The sequence below is a fragment of the Homo sapiens genome, chromosome 17, assembly GCF_000001405.40.
Source record: "Homo sapiens chromosome 17, GRCh38.p14 Primary Assembly".
Lineage (NCBI taxonomy): Eukaryota > Metazoa > Chordata > Mammalia > Primates > Hominidae > Homo > Homo sapiens.
This window is the reverse complement of record NC_000017.11, coordinates 27,965,634-27,985,635: the sequence shown is the minus strand read 5'-3', so window position 1 is coordinate 27,985,635 and position 20,002 is coordinate 27,965,634. Positions and strand designations below refer to the sequence as shown.

At 43.8% G+C, this 20,002-nt stretch overlaps 1 long non-coding RNA gene across 1 annotated transcript in view, besides 2 other annotated features; it reads left to right on the top strand.

Annotated features, from left to right (window-relative positions):
- The window catches only part of LINC01992 (long intergenic non-protein coding RNA 1992), a 62,784-nt gene that overhangs the window by 6,072 nt on the left and 36,710 nt on the right, over positions 1 to 20,002 (top strand). The window lies entirely within an intron of this gene.
- Positions 8,882 to 9,011: an enhancer, noted in NCBI's record as "active region_11916". NCBI's record gives its function as "activates an Ori minimal core promoter by ATAC-STARR-seq in GM12878 lymphoblastoid cells {active_cell/tissue: GM12878}" and the evidence as "EXISTENCE:reporter gene assay evidence [ECO:0000049][PMID:35858748]".
- Positions 10,239 to 10,533: an enhancer, noted in NCBI's record as "tiled region #4282; K562 Activating DNase matched - State 5:Enh". NCBI's record gives its function as "activates a minimal TATA promoter and a strong SV40 promoter by Sharpr-MPRA in K562 cells {active_cell/tissue: K562}" and the evidence as "EXISTENCE:reporter gene assay evidence [ECO:0000049][PMID:27701403]".

Sequence of the window (20,002 nt, the reverse complement as noted above, 5' to 3'; positions counted from 1 at the left end):
GATTTCCAGAAATCTGTAGTACTGCCGACCTCTCTAAGAGCACATTTCTCAGCAAAGCAAGAACTCCCAGGGCAAGAATCCTGTCCGCTGGGGACAGCTTTAGCCCCTTAGGAGCACGGAGCAGTCCAAGCAGCCGCTGCAACTTCCCCTCCCACTGACGGCATCTATAAATCCATTTCCTGTCTTGTAATTATGTCTCATGTGGTAATTAGCCCCTTTATATAAATGAAGCCAAATTTCCTTGTGTAATGGACTGAAGCCCAAGTGTATGCGAGGAGTTGAAATGCCGCTTTGGCAGGAGGGGGGCCTCTGAGATCTCCTTGGGGGCAGGGAGGAGAGCCCTCTGTGTGAGGAGTCTACACTGTGCCAGGCGCTGTGCTGGTACTTTGCATGCACCATTCCATACCCTCCTCACACTGATCCTTCCTTCCGGGCACCTTTGCCTTTGCTTTTATTGTCCAAGGCCAGCTTCTGTGCACTCTTCAGGTAGAAAATCAAAACCATCAGTGGTACTTAGATGAACACGTGACTCTACATGCCAAAGGCTCTGCGGGGTACAAGGAAGGAAGTGCTGTAGGAACCAGCCAAGGACAGCACCCCTGAAGCCTTGTTCCTTCCTGGAATTTCACGTGGCCCACTGACCCTTCACAGCCCTGAATGTGCACAGGCACGTGTGGAGCCAGCATCAGGGTGGGGCTTCAGGATGCCAGGAGCCCAGAAACCAGCGCAGGCACCCAGCTGTGGGAGGAACATTTGAAATATTGCTGTAGCCCTTGGGAGGACAAGACAGGGACACAGGGGCAGAGACAAGGATGGAGGGGGCGGTTGGAAGAGGTGGGTGCAGGCTTATGCCCTTGAAAAGGGAATTTGGGACAGTGAAGAACGAGGCCACATGTCCCTTTACCCCATCTCCCTCTATCTTCTTTCTTTTTTCCTTTCACTCTTCTCAGGCATCTCCTTCCGATAATCAGGCTGCATTTGCCGGCAGCCGGGGGGGGGGGGGGGTGCGGGGGGGAGGTGTGTGTGTGGAATTCACGGTCTTTTAGCTTGGACAGAGAATTAGAGGGGGCAGTGAACACAAATTGTCAGGAAGGCTAAGAAAAGAGTACGGAGGACATTGGATTAGCCTTGAATCTTTGAGCAGGCTACTTAGATGCTGCTAAGTCCCTTGGGGTCCTGATGTCTAAAATGGGGATAATAATTGATGTCTTGAACACCTCACTGGACTGAGGAGGAAGTGGAATAGACTCGATTTTGATTCAAGGGAATGTCTGAGTATATACTGGTTTTTCAGGGATGTGCCTGGGGAAATACGTATAAATGCATGTTTATATGTAAGTATGCGCACATTGCCCATTCCACATACACATGGTCAACTGAATGTATGTTTTTTTTGTCTTTTAGGAATTTAAAACCACCACATATAATAATAAGTACTTACTACTCATTAACCACTTACTCTATGCTAGACCCTATCTCAGCTCTGTACATATATTTCTTATTTAATTCCCTAAATCCTATGAGGTAGGTATTATTAGCCCCATTTTACAGAAGATAAAACTGAGGCACCAGATTAGGATGATCACTCAAAGCTATGGACCTAGTAAGTGTTAGAGCTGGAACTTGAAACAGGCCTGAATTTCCTAATCTTTTGTCTTAATTGCTATGTTGTTTCTAATAATCTGGGCTTTTCTTTACATCTATAGGCAAACATTTTTGGACTCAGACTCAGATACCATTGCCCCAAGGCGGACTCCCACTTTCTCATCTCCAAGTGGCTCTGATACAAAGTGATCTAATGCTTAAAATGAGAAAGGCTTTGAGGGTGTGCCGTGACTTTCATCTCTGCAGAGCCCCAGGATGTTTCTCCAGCCCCCTTCTCAATATGCAGGGAAGAGAAGCCTTAGACGGGCTTCAGGCTCAGGACAGCAGTGTCAGGGGCTCTGCGTAGGGGGTGTCCCTTCTAGAAAATGGCTCTGGGATGGCTGCTTGTGGACAGGATCCTGCTGCCTGTCTCTCTTTCCTGCCTAGTGAAAGCTCTGGGCCCCTGTGCCTTCTCCTTTACCTGCTTCTTTCTTCCTGAACTGGTGCCCTCTGTTTCTAATTACATGGAATTCTAGAGGGGTTCACTACAAGTCCAGCTTCCGTGCGAGCAAAAGACCCTTCTCCATTTTTGCCAGCAAGTTGGCAAGAGCTGTAGGGTAGGAGTGATGCGGTGGGCTCTAGAGCCATGGGTTCAAATCTTGGCCCTTGGCTATGTCACTCAATTTCTCAGGCCTTCCTTTTCCTCCTCCTTTTTTTTTTTTTTTTTTAAAGAAGGGGGCTATAACACCCATATTATAAGATTATTGCTGGTATTAAATTAATACATAGAAAGAACTTGGGACAGTGCTTTATTAAGTGCTCAGTAGCTCTCATTTTTACCCCATGTCAGATACTTCACTAGGTGCTGCATGGACACAATTCTCATTTAGATCTCACAACACCCCAGTTAAGTAGATGGAAATAAGATCTCCATTCTGCAGATGAGGAAACCAAGGCTAATGGAAGTTAGGGTCACATAGCAAGTAAGTAAGAGAGCTAGAATTCAACCAGGGCTGCCTGACTTCAAGGCTTATTCTCTTAATCTCTTTATCACACTTCAGGTCTCTCAAAGGCCTCCTTGTAAAGAAATTCCCACATATCTTTCTTATCTTTTTCTGGGACTTCCTAAATAAAACCCCTGGAGTCCAAGGGTAGCTGCAGCTATCTCAGGTCACATGATGAAAGGTGGGGGCAGTGTGGTGCTGGGTGACCTTGTGGTGAGCTGAACCCTATGATTGCCAGAGTCCGCCCCAACATGAATGCTGGGGACTAAACTGACTGGTAAGGAGTTCCCGTCCTCCTGGGGTGTCTGGCAGAATCAAGATGAGGTCTGAAGGGTCTTCAAGGAGTGAGAGCAGACAGGGTAAAAATAAACTTTCACATTAATCCATTATCCTAATGATCGTCCTAAAGATAAGCTTGATCAGATATGAGCATTGCTGAGATTGATTTGCCTAAAATAAGGATCTCATTTGCATTTTTCTGATTTTCCCCTACTTCATTTAGCCATATTAAAAGACAGCTGCAGCTCTCACCAAGGACAAACATTTGAAAGACATGGATATTGCCTACATGTATTTATGGTGCTTAGGATCCTCCCTACCCGCCTGTGTGTGCTATAATCTCTTTGATAGAGGAGAGGAGGGCAGATTCAGGAACCTCAAGGTGATAGCTCTGGCTTTCCTTTGATCACATTTTAAAACTTACATATTGGTAGAACCAAAGACTCTGCCTGGGTGGAAAGGATTGAAGAAGACCCCAATAATCTAGAGTCTAAATTAGAAAATTTAATTTCGCATATCTCTTTCATTAATTATTCATATCAGCCCTAAGAGATAGCTGGGGCAGGCATTTTTATTCCCATTTTACAGATGAGGAAACTGAGCTCCAGTGAGGTTAAGGTATACACCTTAGGCTATATGCCTTGCCAGTAGTGTCTAAGATCTCTTGACTCCGATGCCTGGGCCACAAACCTTCTGACTTCTAGGCCAGGGTTCTCTGCTAGTGGACCTAGATGCCTGGTAACAGCTCTGGGAAGAACCACTTGTCTCAGAGGGAAAGACTCGATCCTGGTCTTACAGGCAAGACCACACCTTTCATCAATTTGACCTCCAAAGGTTGTTTCATGGAGCAGACAAGGCCAGTGAAAATATCCATGAGCTGATGAGAAATGTTTGTGTGTGCTTCTTGGCAGAGCTGACCATGGACAATAAAAACCCATAAGGCCATTGCTGCTAAGCTTCAGAGAGATCCCACTGATCCTTTTGCTATCTTTGGCCTGAGGGCTAGTCAGGTGGACTACCTTTTGAGCGGGAAGAACTTGGAACGTGGGATCAGAGTCATGGATTGAGTCCTGGCTTTGCATTAATGTCAGCTGGTGTTTATAAAGGTGCCTTCTGTGAATAATTTATTATGTTATTTAATGTAGTACATTAGTATTTAAATACATTATTTAATACATTTATCTAGTACATTATTTCACTTAATACCACAGCACTCCTATGAGGTGATACTAATGTCATTGTCCCCATTCCATGGATAGGAAAAGAAATTCATAGACATAGAAGGTAAATAACTTACCCAAGCTACTCAGGCTTGTTCTCTGTAATTCCAAATCTTATTTTTTTTTTAATTTTAGCTGCTTCTTCTTCTTCTTCTTCCTCTTCTATTGAGATAGTCTTGCTCTGTTTAATTTTAGTTTCCTCCTCCTCCTCCTTCTGTCTCCTCCTTCTTCTTCTTCTTCCTCTTCTTCTTCTTCCTCTTGTTCTATTGAGACAGTCTCACTCTGCTTAATTTGTTCTTCTTCTTCTTTCTCTTCTTATTCTATTGAGATAGTCTCACTCTGTTTAATTTCCTCCTCCTCTTCCTCTTCCTCTTCCTCCCCTCCTCCTCCTCCTCCTCCTCCTCCTCCTTCTTCTCCTTCTCCTTCTCCTCCTTCTCCTTCTCCTTCTCCTTCTCCTTCTCCTTCTTCTTCTTCTTCTTCTTCCTCTTCCTCTTCTTCTCCTTCTCCTTCTCCTTCTCCTTCCTCTTCTTCTGAGACAGTCTCACTCTGTTGCCCAGGCAGGAGTGCAGTGATGTGATCTCTGCTCACTGCAACCTCCACCTCCTGGTTCAAGTGATTCTCCTGCCTCAGTTTCCCAAGTACCTGGGATTACAGGTGCATGCTGCTATGCCCAGCTAATTTTTGTATTTTTAGTAGAGATGGGGTTTTGCCATGTTGGCCAGGCTGGTCTCAAACTCCTGGCCTCAAGTGATCCGCCTGCCTCAGCCTCTCAAAGTGTTGGGATTACAGGCATGAGCAATTGCACCTGGCCTTTTTTGTTTGTTTGTTTAAGATAATATATTTACTTGGGTCCAAATTCAAAAGATACAAAAAATAAAACAGTAAAAAATCTCCTTCCTACTCTTGTCCCCCAGCCACTAGTCTACCCTCCTGGAGGCAAACAGTTTTAGCAGCTGCATGTTTTCTTCCAGAGATTTGTTATAAGTATATAAGCAAATAGGCAAGTATATTGTTCCTACTGTTTTTGTATGTGTGGATGTATAAATCCCTTTGAATTGAATTGAAGAGGCGTGGCTAAAGTTCTCCATATAAGACAATAGTATGATTTGATAATAATACAAAAGCAGTGTCTTTAGTTAAACATACTCTATTCTTTAAATTTTCTGACCTTTGCTCTTGTTTTTTCCTCAGTACAAAATGCTTGACTCCTAACTCACACTCCTCACCTGCCAAGCTCCTTGACACCCTTCAGGATGCGGCTCAGACGTCATCTCCTCTCCAGCAACATTCCTCAACCAGCCCCTCTCCCCCTTAAAGATGATTCATTTCCTCCTTTGTATTCCCACATTTTTCACATTATGTAATACTTATTTTTTAAACTAACTGTATTCCTAAAGATAGCCTGATAGGTCCCAGGAGGACATTCATTCATTCAACATACACACACGCACACATACACACACACATGCATGCACAATATATCTATATACATACATATACCATATATACGTAATGTATATATATATTATATACATTATATATACACACACACACTCTCTCTCTATATATACATATATATATACATATATACACATATATATACATATATACATACACATATATATACACACATATATATATACACACACATATATATACATATATATATATATATACACACACACACACATATATATATATACACTTGTTTGGTGAGGGTCTGCTCTTCTTTTTTTTTTTTTTTTTTTGAGACAGAGTCTCACTCTGTTGCCCAGCCTGGGGTGCAGTGGCGTGATCTTGGCTCATTGCAAACTCTGCCTCCCAGGTTCAAGTGGTTCTTCTGCCTCAGCCTCCTGGGTAGCTGGGACTACAGGCGCACACCACCACGACCGACTAATGTTTGTATTTTTAGTAGAGACAGAGTTTCACCATATTGGCTAGGCTGGTCTCGAACTCCTGACCTCGTGATCCGCCCACCTCAGCCTCCCAAAGTGCTGGATTACAGGCATGAGGCAACGTGCCCGGCCAGTCTTCTCTTTTTAGTTTTGGTGGCAGCATATTAAATACACCAGTCTGCACCTTGCTTTCTAAGAAGCTTTTATTGCAGGAAAATTTCACACATACACAAAAGTAGAAAAAACAGTGTGAACCCCCCATATAGCCATCAACCCACTTCAACAATGATCCACACTCGGCCAATCTTTTTGTATCTTCACTTCCTCTCCCTCTCCCCCTGATTATTTTAAATCAAATCCCAGGCATCATATAATTTCATCTATTAATTCTTCAGCATATATTTCTAAAAGAAAATTACCTGAGAAAAAACACAACCTCTACACATGTAAAAGAAAACAATAATTCTTTAATACCATAAGCTACCTAGTCAGCATTCAGATTTCCTTGATTTTTTTTCTCTCTCAACAAATGCTGTTTTGTTTGAATCAAAATTCAAGTAAGGTCCACACATTGCATTTGGTTACTTCCCTTGCTTTTTATCACGAACAACACTCTTAGAGATGATTTCCTACCAGAACATAAAGAACTACTTTATTCTTTTTCCCGTTGCAGAGTATTCTTTGTATGAATGTCCTAGAATTCATTTGACCAGCCTGTTGGTGGACGTGTAGGTCATTTTCAACCTTTTGCTATTGCAAACAATGCTGCATTGAATAACTTGTAAGCATGCCATTTTGCATACGTGGGAGTATATCTGCTAGTTGAATTCTTGGAAGCGGAATTTCTGGGTGAAAGGATATGTATGTTTGTAATTTCAAAGATTATTGCTAGATTGGCTTCTCAGAGGTTGTACCCATGGAACTGATAACTTCCACCAGCCATGTAGGTGAGACCCTTTTTTCCTGTACCCTCCTCAGAAGCACCATCCCATCTCTGGCTTCTGTCCATGCAATTCCCTTTCTCTAGAAGGTCCTGTCTCACCTTGTCTATCTGGTGAATGCTTATTCTTCAAGGCTCAGGTCAAAGGCCCCATCGTAGCATATATCCCACTGGGTACTCTTTATGACTCATCTCTCCTCCATTGCACAGTTAGGTCCTTGAGGGTGCAGACCAAGGCACACAGTAGGGGGCTTCCCTAAACTGGTCTAGAGAGGTGCTGAAGGACTGAGAGACTAGGGCATAATCTCTAGGTCTTGTTCCAGTGGGAGTTTAGGGACTTCTGCTCAATTTCCTTGGATGGAGCAAGCTGAGTCATGGGTGCATCACCCACTTTTGGAACCCTATGACCCCTAAGTATTGGAACCCAGAATAAAACCAAGTGCTACATTGCCCAGCCCCAGATGCCTGCAACAGATGGCATGGCATGGCTGAGGCTGGGGGTCTGATTATCCCAGACCTGTACCTCTGTGGATTCTGACCTTTCAAATTGTTTTCTATTTAATCTGGGCTGGAAGACCTTGCTTTTTGTTGTTTTAAAATCTTTGCTCTCTTCCTACGCCACAAATGAAACTGTCATCCTCCAAATTACTATGATCTGGAAGGGCAGGAGCAGAATTAGGCCCCACAAAAGCAAGTTAGGCGGGCAGGTGGGAGTAATCCTGTGTGCCCGAGGTGGGGGAGGGTGCAGCAGATGGCTCCCCAGGCAAGCCCTAAAAGCCAGGATTAAAAAGTAATTTTCAGCATGCTGAAAATGGGACTGCAGATTTGGGTCACTGCAATTAACTCTTTCTCGGCTGCAGGCAGGGACCTTGGAGCTGAGAAGAGTTATCCTGCCTAGGGGAGCTGCCAGGTGAAAACCCCCTTGGTTTCTCCTCCTTAGGCCTCAGGGAGAACAGCTCCTGGGTCTCTTCTTGAGAATGGAAGTCAGGTCTGCAGGGTATGCTTCTTTCTGGAGACTAGCTTCCTGCCTCCCCTCTGAATATGGCGTCTGTTGGAGGGAAATCCCCCCCAAGGCTGTGGGAGGCATTTCACCTCAAGGGATTTGATTGTTGTATCAGAGGCCTAAAGTGGCACCTCATTCTGTTATCAAAAGTACATCAGGCATTTGCCCCACAAAAGATTAGGTGCTTTTTTGCCAATTACTTCCTGTGCTAAAAAAAACTACTGTTTTTACCTCAAATACAGTTTTTCAGTATCTGTCCCTGTCCCCACTACCCCAACTGCCCAACAAGAATTCCTTTATCTCAAAAGCCAATGCATTAAATTATCTTCCTGGAGGAATGATTTTATTTTGCATTCTTGAACTGTGGTATTGCAGCCAACGGGTTTTCCCTTTTCTCTTTGGTTGCCAGGAAACTCGAAGCCTCAAATTCAAAAACTAAATCCATGACATCCATTAATGCATTTTATTTTTCCCCTTATCTTATTATTCTATTCTAATTCACACATTCCTTGGTCCTGATTTTATTTACCTGTTTATATTGTGCTATATTATCGAATGCATATCCTGTATATCAAATCCTTTGTGCAACTAGGTAGAGTATAAATAAGTAAATGCAGAAATAATTTCATACATAGATTAATTTGTTCATCTTTTAAAATAAGCATCTGTTAGGTGCTTAATACTGTGCTTGAGTGACTGATAAAATAAAATGCATTTAAACATTTATCACCTATTATGTATCAGGTATTATGCCTAGGACATTTTATGTCATCTATTTTAATTTATTTCCAACAATAATCTTATGATATAAATAATTACATGAGTTGGAATACATAAAGCATTTAGCCCAGTGCCTAGAAAGTACCAGATAAGTAGTAGCTAGTCTTATTAGGTATCATTATCTTCATTTTAAAAAGGGGAAACTGTGATTCTGAAAGGTTAAGTTATACCATTGCAAGAGTTTAATGAAAAAAAAAAGTACCAGGAGCATGGTAGATAGTAGGTGTGGCAGACATTTGTTGTCTTTTTGGCTACCCAGAATCCATTGTACCTTATTTCAGTAATAGTTTCTTTCTTTTTCTTTGTGAAACCTCTCCATACCGCATTTGTAGTTTGTGAGCTCTGGACCAGGCTTCATTTTCACTCCAGGGGGTGAGCAAGTGACTCAAGCGTGGCTGACCAGTGCTCTGGATTCCCCTAGCCACAGCCGTTGGTTCAGGGGTGCAACTCATGACCTAGATTGGTCCAAAGTGAAGCCTAGGATTTGTGTGAGTGTTTTGGGGGAAGAGACTGGTTTTCCTTACCAGTGGATGGGAGCTTGACAGTTGGTATATGCAGCACATGTATACACAACTGGAGATTAGGCAGCCACCTTTCTACCCTGAGTAGAAAGCCCACAATGGAGCCAACACCGAAAAAGTGGAGGCTAGAGATGGAGAGAGCAAAAATGGGTCCTGAGGACATTGCTCAGCCCCCTGGAAGTCTACAAGGTCTCAAGCCTCACCAGAAGCCTATAAGGTCTATTCCAGGATCATTTGATTGCTGAAACGATAAACTGTTTTTTTTTTTTTTTTGCTTAATCCTGTTTGAGTTGGGTTTCAGTCATTTACAAGTAAAACAAATCCTAACTTATAAAAGGCATTCATTATGTTACAAAATTTTTTTTTAGAGACAGGGTCTTGCTCTGTCACCCAGGCTGGAGTGCAGTGGTGCAGTCATGGCTCACTGTAACCTCAAACTCTTGGGCTCAAGGGATCCTCCTGCCTCAGCCTCCCAAGCAGCTGAGATTACAGGCACGTGCCACCATGCACAGCTAATTTTTTGTTTATTCTTTGTAGAGACAGGTCTTGCTATATTGCAGGACTTGTCTTGAACTCCTGGCCTCAGCAATCTGGAATTCAATCTGGGAGGCCAATCCTTGGCCTCGCAAAGCACTGTGATTACAGGTGTGAGCTACCACATCCTGGCCCTCAACGAATTTTTGCATCTTTCCTTTTCCATTTAATGGACTTGCCCAGTGGCATAGCTAGTAAGTGGCAGCATCAATATTTGAACACAGTTCTGGCTCAGGAGCCCATGCATATCATGTTCCCTGCCTATAGGAACTTGGACTCTAGTTAAGCTCCCAGACAGAGACAAATGAAACAGGTGGGTGATGAGTCAAGGCGATGACAGTGGGCCATTGGGCAAGTTACCAGCATAGTCCTTCTGGAGTGCCTTCACCCTGCACTCTCATCCCCAGAACCTTTGAAAGGTCTGGGAGAAGCACAGATGCAGATTCGCAGACATGCCAGCTGGCTCTGCATGTTTCTATGCACGGAGCTGATGCTTCCTCTGCTCATTTAAAGGAGAAAGCTTGCCCAGAGCAGAGGCTGAATGAAACAGACACATCCACACCACTGGACCCTGATTCACCATGTGACCTCTTTGGCTGAGTCATCTCCTCTCCTAAAATGAGCTTTCTCATCTGCAGAATGAAGGTGAAGCTTGACAAATGAGGTGCAAATGAGATCTCATAAATAGTTAGATCAGAAAGTTGCTGCTGGATAGCCCTACCTGAGCAACTGCAGGACTTGATCTCTCCTCTCCAGCATATCTGAGAGTCATCGAGTTTGTGAATAAGTCCAGTCCTACATCATCTCCACTGCTCTGGAAAGACCCTCTGCTCCTCCAACTCAAGGCCTTGTGTGGCCTGCACTGTCACCACTGACCAGACTGCCCAACTGTAGCACTGCCTGCCTCTGGGTATTAGCATGCTGTACTGCTGCCTTGGACCTCTGATGAGAAAGGGAGGTCCCTTCCCCAGTCCTGTTCTGGTGGAGAGATTCAGTAGGAAGTTGCCTGCTTTTCGTGCCCTGGTAAACTTGTAAGGAAAGAGGGACAGACTGTGAGCAATTGGGAGGGTTGGTGTGGCCCTGGGTCAGCAAGTTTGGCCACTTTCAGGACAACTCTCTGCCTAGGGAAGTACACCAAGCTACTCGCAGGAGGACGAATTACAAGCGTGGGAAAGATACTATTGTTACAGGCAGCACATTCGAACAAAATCAGCCTGGTAAGACAGAATTCTGCCAGGGAGTTGCTCATCCAGTTTTGCTCACTCTGGGCAATGGAATCCTCCCCCTAATAATCAGCTAGGACCTACCCTGTCCAGAAAATAAAGATGACTAAAAGATGGTGATCATTAATATTTTAAAACTGGCTCTCCAGAAAAAAATGTTTATTATAACTTTTGTATCATTTGTTTATTATAAATTTTTAGATATTTTACAGAGAGAAAGGATGTTGCTATTGACTGAATGTTTGTATCTGCTGCCCCCTCAACCAATTCTTATGTTGAAGCCCTATCCCCCGATGTGGCTATATTCAGAGATGAGGACTTTAAGGAAGTAATTAAGGTTAAATAAGGTTATAAGGGTGAGGCCCTAATCTGAAAGGATTAGTGTCCTTATAAGGAGAGACTCCAGAGAGCTGGGTCTCTCTGCCCATGTGCAAGCGTATGCACACTGAGGAAAGGCTACTTGAGGACAAAAGAGAAAGCGGCCCATCTACCAGCTGGGAAGAGAACCCTCACCACAAACCAAATTGGCTGAAACCTTGATCTTGGACTTCTGGTCTCCAGAATTGTGAGAAAATAACTTTTTCTTGTTTAAGCTACCCAATCCATGGTATAATATTTCGTTATGGCCGTCTGATCTGACTAATACAGATGTGAAGCACCCAAATTACAAAGAAGAGTAAACTATACAATGCTTTATTGTAAATTTCACACAGCCAACTGATTCTCACAGTGCTTTTGTTGACCTTTGTTGAAATCTTGTTTCCCCAGCCATAACTATGGTTTCAATTCAACCATGATTTGACAAAATCAGACTATGAATCAATGCTATCCAATTTGCCAAAGAAGAACTCACATCATTAACAAATGAGGATAATTCCAACAGGAATGTCAGTTGATAGTTTCATTTCCATTAAGGAGTCAAATGAAAGAAAAACAACAAACGTGTATCAGAATTTCATTTGTTAGTCAATGACATAGTGACTTCTTTGCTGAATCAGGTGGTAGTATTTGAATGCTGGAAGAATATTGCCTTGATTTTTTGGTACTAGTCACAGTGTAACAGTTACAGACACAACATGATTTTAAGTTTAATCTGCAGTATTAACATTTTCTCCATCATTATCTGAAATCAATACAATCAACAATTTCCATGGTGTAAATTCCACCGTGGCTGATTCCAACCTACCAGTGGTGAGTCATCGAATGTAGAGTGGGGAAGAGGAGATACACCATCATATAATCTTTTCATCACATACATACAGTAGATGTAAATAACCTTAAGAGCAGAGATGATAATAAAATATAGTAAAATAATTAGGAAGTGAGGAGTACTAAGTATCTTTGTTTTTAATGTAATTTATTTTGTTAAAAGTGTATATAATTAATTTGTAATGATGGCTGTGTATAATAACCAGCTTGCAAAATTCCTGAAAATTTAACAATTAGCTCTTTCGAGCTGGTATCAGCTAGCTCCAGCACTCCACTGTCAAGCAGAGTTGTGCCTGGCTCAAAACAAACTTGGCAAAGAGAACTAGATAACCAGATCAATTTTTCAGCCTACTAATACCTAATGAACTTTGTTTTTTAAGAGCTGGGGGGCAGGGTCTCTCTATGTTGCCCAGGCTCATCTCGAACTCTTGAGTAGCTGGGATTATAGGCACCAGCCTCTGCACCAGACTCCTAATAAATTTGTAAAGCCAGATCCTATTCCTTAAGTGATATGATTAGCCATGTGGCTGAGGGAGTCATTCTGGGCCTCTGTGGATCCTCTAGGACAGTGCTTCTTAAAGTGTGATCCTTGGACCAAAAACCTCATCATAACACTAAGTTTTTTTGGAAATGCACATTTTAGGGCTTGCTGCCAACCTGCTGAATCAGAACCTCTGAGGATAGGGCCCAGCAATCTGTTCCTGATGTTTCTGGTGCCTGTTTCAGACGCATCATCAGGTTTGATGTTCCTTTCTGAGGACTATAGTTTGAGCAGCACTGCTTTTGGATGTATCCCACATTGTTCTTGCCCCATGCTGTGGGCAATAGAGTGTAAGCTTTCATGTTCAGAATGCTTGTTACTGCTTCCAGGTGTGCTCAAAGTACAGTGGTTAGGAAAGAGTTTTCATCAATCTGTCCTTGTGCAAGGGTTCACCTCCATCCAATGCGCTTGCAAGATGATGGTAAGGTACAGGTGCTCCCAGAAGTCTCACTGACTCCAGGGCTCAGAGCATACGTTGTCTTTGTGCAATCGGTATTCTCCTGCACTGTGAATATAGCAGAGGCAGTTTAAATTGCTTTCCGTCAGGAAAGGGGCTTTCTACTTGGATTGTGAGCTCGGTGTAGGTGCTCCATTTGTTCTGTCTTTTGACACTGACTCTGACATAAAGTTAAACCTTCTTCCTTCTCTGTAAATTAGCTGAATCCATAGAAATCCTGGGTCAAATGGGCTTAAACAATAAGTCATTTTATTATTTTCCATAACTGAAGTCAATAGGCTTTGGGGCTGGTTGGTTTAGAGGCCCAGCAATGGTATCAAGGACCCAGGTTCTTTTCATCTTTCCGGTATGCCAACGCCATAGTGGTCCACCCTCCAGTTGCTGGCAAGATGGCTGCAGTGGTTCCAGCCATCACAGCCAGAGAGTACAAAGTCCAGAGCAGGGAGCTCTTACCTGGGCTCCACAGACAAACCCGGAGAGCCACGAACCTGAGTGGGAGAAAGAATTACACCACTAACCTCTAACTGAAATGTGGCATTTTCTTCAATTATGGATGCAGGCAACATCTATAGTGGTAGTAGTGTACTGTGGCTTTGCCACCAAAAGAAATCATATGTATTTTCATATAACATTACAATTACAAATATATCATAAAATATCATTTATACTCAATCCCACTTTGAAATTGTAGTAGTTATTAGACCTGCCATTAAATATTGATATTGAATGTGTTAATAAAGTATCACATATATTATTACACCACAAATATATTGTTTTAATATTTTAATACGTGGTTAAATTATAATTGTTTACATGTAATTTATTTTATATATTTTAAAATATTATTCTAAGAAGCAGTTCACGGAATTCATCTTACCACAAAAGGGATCCTGGCACCACCCCCCCACCAAAAAAAGGCTAAGAATTCTTGATGTAGAGGAAGAAGACAGGCCATCTCCTGCAGTGACTCTCTCTTTTTTTTTTTTTTTTTTTTTTTTTTGAGAAGGAGTTTTGCTCTTGCTGCCCAGGCTGGAGTGCAATGGCACGATCTCAGCTCACTGCAACCTCCGCCTCCTGGGTTCAAGCAATTCTCCTGCCTCAGCCTCCCAAGTAGCTGGGACTACAGACATGCACGACCACGCCCAGCTAATTTTGTATTTTTAGTAGAAATGGGCTTTCTCCAGGTTGGTCAGTCTGGTCTCAAACTCCTGACCTCAGCCTCCCAAAGCGCTGGGATCATAGGCATGAGCCACCACACCCGGCCTTCTTTTTTTTTTTTTTTTTTTGAGACAGGGTCTCACTGTGTCACCCAGGTGGCTGGAGTGCAGTGATGTGGATCTTGGCTCATTGCAGCCTCAACCTCCTGGGCTCAAGCGATCCTCCTACCTCAGTCTTCCGAGTAGTTGGGACCAGAGGTGTGTGTCACCACACCTGGCTAATTTTTTAATTTTGTTGTGATGGTGTTTTGCCTTGTTGCCCAGGCTGGTCTTGAACTCCTAGGCTCAAGCAATTCTCCTGCCTCGGCCTCCCAAAGTGCTGAGATTACCGGCATGATCTACTCACCACACCTGGTCTCCTCCAGTGACTCTCTCTTAAGAGACAAGAAATGTCATAACTCATTGGCCAGAATTGGGTCACATGACATTCTTGAGCCAATCATTGTGAAGAAAAATGAGATATATATTCCCCTTCCCCCAGCCCAATCAGTGTGGCAAGGTCAGCTTTCCCTGAGGCATGGGGCTATTTGGGTGAGGGTGGATATCCGAAGACATTGGGGTTCTGTTAGGAAAGAGGAAAGGGAGGCTAGGGAGATAGTCCCTCAGGTGCTATGGGTTAGGAATTGCTCAGGAGTCTGCTTCACCTCCTGCCACATTTAAGAAGGATAAGAATAAGACAGAAGGAACAGCATGTTTTTATGCAAGAGCTTGGGGACAGTAAGGAGGCAGGAGGGGCTTTTTGCCTCTTCAGAAAGTTTTCTAGAGGAAGATATGCATTAGCTGATTCTTGGAGAATGCGTAGGACTTAGCCAGGAGAAAGAAGATGAAAAATTGTTCCAGAATGTGGAAATAGTATGTGCAAGGACTAGAGGCATGAAAGAGCATGGCGTGTCCTGAGAACTAGTAGTAGTTTAGTATTTGGTAAGAGAAGGGGAGAGTGGTGAGAAAAGAGGCTGGGGGAGGTGGCCTGGGAGCCAACATGAAAGACCTTGGGTACCAAGGTTGGGGTTAGAATTTTATCCTGGTGAACACAAGTGGTTTCTGAGGGGTTTTAAGTACAGCAGTGACATGATTCTATTTGTTTTTCAGAAAGGTCATTGTGGCACCGTAGTGTGGAGAATAGACAGAGGGGAGCAAGACTAAAAGCAAGGGAGACACTTAGGCTCTTGTTCAACCAGGGGAAAGAAGACGGTGGTCTGAACAAAAGTGATGGCAGTGAAGCTGGAGAAAAGAGGGTGACAGAGCTTAAGAGACTGATTGAATACGGCATGGGGGTGGTGATGAGGGAAATGGGTAAGTCCCAGATAACCCCCATATTTGTGACTTGAGCCAGTGGCAGATGGTGGAACCATTCACTGAATAGGAGACAGGAGGAGATGCAGTTGGGGGCGAGGAGAGGTCAGAGCAGATGATAAGATCATAGGTTCAGAATTGGACAGATTGTGATATAATTTTGGCTGCCTTTTGTCTTGGTGTTCCCATTTCTTGTATTTCCCCTGAAAGTTCAGAATGGCCACAACTTTTCCATGAGAACCCTGAGGCTGGGGGCCTGAGAGCCCCAAGATCTCTGTGGAAATAGGAAGATGTGGTGGCGAAGGAATGGCACACAGTGATGTAATTTTTGGTCCGCTCCCCCAAAGGCTTCCATGAAAACAGTAAAACTGCTCATGCTGTCTCCTAGCATCCCAGCAAATGGAAGCTTTGGAGGAAAACTAAGTTGTGTTATAATTATAATACAACTTAGTATTATAATATAATTATAATAAGGTGTCAAAGACCTTATTGTTTTTGGTCCTGTTCATACAGTGAAACCAAACTCAGCAGAATTCAGGGACTTTTGAATAGATTTGGAGAGTGACTCTGAGCCAGGTGCCTGCCACTTTGCAGAGTAAATTATCAAGGCAGTAAGAGGATGAAACTTCAGCCTGGGGAAATGGTTAATTGCTTTGCCCTCTAGTTATTATTTTGGTCCTAGCTTACTGTAGAGTATAGCATTTCAAGCAAAGGGCTATAAATTTCATGGTAAGGGGCATCTATTCAGGGGTGCAGTGGAGATGGGAAACGCAAGCAGTCATTGATACCAACCTTGATCATCAATCATGGAAAATGAGTGTCTTTTTCAGGCAATGCTGTCTAATACCCCTTGCATTTTGGTTTTTCCTGTGTTTTCGACTCCCCCCATTCACATAAACCTATATGTACCCAACAATAAAATATACACACATGTGGACTCAATCAGCAATGCCTTAGGCTGGCCGTGGTTTTAGATACCTTTGTGCATACAGGATCCTTAGTCAAGGACAATACCAGGTCCTTTAAAAAGAGGCTCGAGAAAGCAAATTTCAAGAGGAAGTAGAAGGCTGTATTGATTTCACAGGCACTTCCACATCCACCTCACCCTGTCCTAGGCCCCTTGCATCCATAACTATTTCTTGATCTCTTGTCCTGGGCTTTGTGCTAGGCCAAATGTCCTTAGGAGCTGACAAGCAAAGGCTCTTGGCATTCACATGACTTTGGCTGTTGCGGGTGGAGGCGGCCGCAGTTGCTGCTGCTGCTTTGGGTGTTACCTGGGTGGGTGGGGTGGCAGAGAGACAGGTGGGTTCTTTCACACGCCGTACATTTGTGAAGGCGTTTTGTGCTTGGGAGCTGTTTGTTTCTTTGCCTTGCAAGCTGTTGGATGCCTCTGCTCAAGCAAAGGCTGATTCCCCAGCACATGGCCCTGCTAAGTGCTGCTTTGGGAAGTACTTTGCTTTCCAGCTGGGCTTGTCACCCCAGCTCTCTCTATCTAGCATGTCCTCTCTGGCAGGAAGCAGGCGTGCAGCTTTCTGGGCTGTTCTGATGGGAGCCCAGGGAGGCAGAGAGTGCCTGAAGATAAGGAATCAAGTCAAGCGAGGTCAGCTTTGGGCTGGGTTGGCAGTTGGCTGCAGGCTCCAGGGGTTAGATGGGCCCCTGCCAGTAATAGGAGTGTAATCTCTGATCCATGGGCCCAAGCTGCATGCTGCTGACCTTGTTGGTACCACCTATGGAGTGGGTGGTTATAGCTGGCAGGCTGGTGATCTGCAGACACACCTGGCCCAATTCAGGCAAGGGTAGAGATACCAAAACAGTGTTTCCCAAACTCTATTCCACAGAACATTGACTCCACGGAAACTAAAAAGGATAAAAGGGTTCAGGGATTATATAAACTGGAGAAACATTGATATAGATAAAGGCAAACAGATCTCTTTACTGAAAGATACTTAAAATCCTCATACTAAAAATGTGCTAACCACACTTTGGGAGGCCGAGACAGGCAGATCACGAGGTCAGGAGATCAAGACCATCCTGGCTAACACGGTGAAATCCCGTCTCTACTAAAAATACAAAAAAATTAGCCGGGTGTGGTTGTGGGTGCCTGTAGTCCCAGCTACACGGGAGGCTGAGGCAGGAGAATGGTGTGAACCCGGGAAGCGGAGCTTGCGGTGAGCCGAGATCACGCCACTGCATTCCAGCCTGGGCGACAGTGAGACTCCATCTCAAAAAAAAAAAAAAAAATTGCTAACGAGTGTTATAAATCTTTAGATAGGAATCAGAATATATAATGTTTCCCAAACCTGTTGGACTGTGGAACCCTTCTTTTGGTGTAACAAAAGAAGGTTGGGGGGAGGGTTCCATAGAACACACTTTGGGAAACACTGTCTGATTCTCTCTTGCATGCCGAGTTTATGTGACCAGGTTGAGTGCTCAGATCCTGGTACCAGGATGTTGGAGTTTGAATCTGGCTATTCATGGGGCTACTCTAAGCCTTTACCTTTGGTGTTTCTTGCAACACCAATCACTGCATATGTCACAGAGAGTCCTTTAGGGACCCAGACCTGCTGTTATTAAAATAAGACCTCACCGAGGCAGGAGGATTGCTTGAGTCCAGGAATTCAGTACTAGCTTCAGCAACATAGGGAGATCTTGCCTCTACAAAACCCAAATCAAATCAAATCAAATCAAAACACACAAAAAACAAGACTTAGTTCTTAGTAATCCCCGCACTTTGGGAGGCTGAGGCAGGTGGATCACCTGAGGTCAGGAGTTCGAGACCAGCCTAACCAACATGGAGAAACCCCATCTCTACTAAAAATACAAAATTAGCCAGGTGTGGTGGCGCATACCTGTAATCCCAGCTACTCAGGAGGCTGAGGCAGGAGAATCACTTAAACCTGGGAGGCGGAGGTTGCGGTGAGCCGAGGTTGCGCCATTGCACTCCAGCCTGGGCACAAGAACGAAACTCCGTCTCAAAAAAAAAACAAAACAAAACTGGGTTCTAAAGTTCGCTAGACCTCATCTAAATCCCAGTGTGGCTGTTCATTGGATGTGGAATCCAGGTAAGTTTCATAACCATTCTGAGGCTCAGTTTCTGGGTCTATAAAATGGGGTTAATAATAGTATTCCAGCCTGGGCAACATAGGGAGAACCCATCTCTGCACAAAAAAAAAAAAAAAAAAAAAGTAACCAGGCATGGTAGTGCACACCTGTAGTCTCAGCTACTCAGGAGGCTGAGGCAGGAGGATCTCTTGAGCTGGGGAGGTGGAGGCTGCAGTGAGCTGTGTTAGTGCCAATACACTTCAGCCTGGGTAACAGAGCAAGACCCTATGTTAAAATATATACGTGGCAGGGCACAGTGATTCATGTTTGTAATTCAGTACTTTGGGAGGCTGAGGTGGGTGGATCACAAGGTCAGGAGTTTAAGACCAGCCTGTTCAACGTGGCGAAACCCCGTCTCTACTAAAAATACAAACATTAGCCAGGCATGGTGGTGGGTGCCTGTGGTCCCAGCTACTCAGGAGGCTGAGGCAGGAGAATGGCTTGAACCCAGGAGGTGGAGGTTGCAGTGAGCCGAGATCACACCACTGCACTCCAGCCTGGGCGACAGAGCGAGACTCAGTCTCAAATAAATAAATGAATGAATAAATAAAATTTTTAAAACATAAAATATATATATATAAAATACCTACCTCCCAAGGTATTTGTGAGGAGTAATTGAGACAATACATACCAAACAGCACATGGCCTGCTTCAAATCAGAAGCTTACTGAATGTCTTTTTAAAAAATTCTGATATAGAAACAAAGATATGTCAGTGGAGAGGAGGGGCCAGGAAATGCTGTGCACAGTGAACATGGACAAGTGGACAGGTGGATAAATGGAGTGCTATTGTCTCAATGTTTGTGTTCCTCTAAAATTTCTATTTTGATATCCTGGCCCCCAAGGTGATGTTATTAGGAGGTGGGACTTTTGAGGAGTGATAAGGTCACTGGGGTGGAGCCCTTATGAATGGGATTTGTGCCCTTATAAAAGAGGCCTGAGAGAGAACCCCTGCCCCTTCCACCATGTGAGGACACAGTGAGAAGCTGCCATCTGTGAACCAGGAAGCAGGCCCTTACCAGAGACTGAATCTGCTGGCACCTTGATCTCATACTTCCCAGATTCCAAAACTGTGGGAAAGACATTTCTGTTGCTTATAAGCCACGCAGTCTGTGGTATTTTGTTATAGCCACCCAAACAGACTAACACAATGGCATTACATTAGTGCGTCCAGGATAGCTGAGTTGAAGGAAGGAGAGAG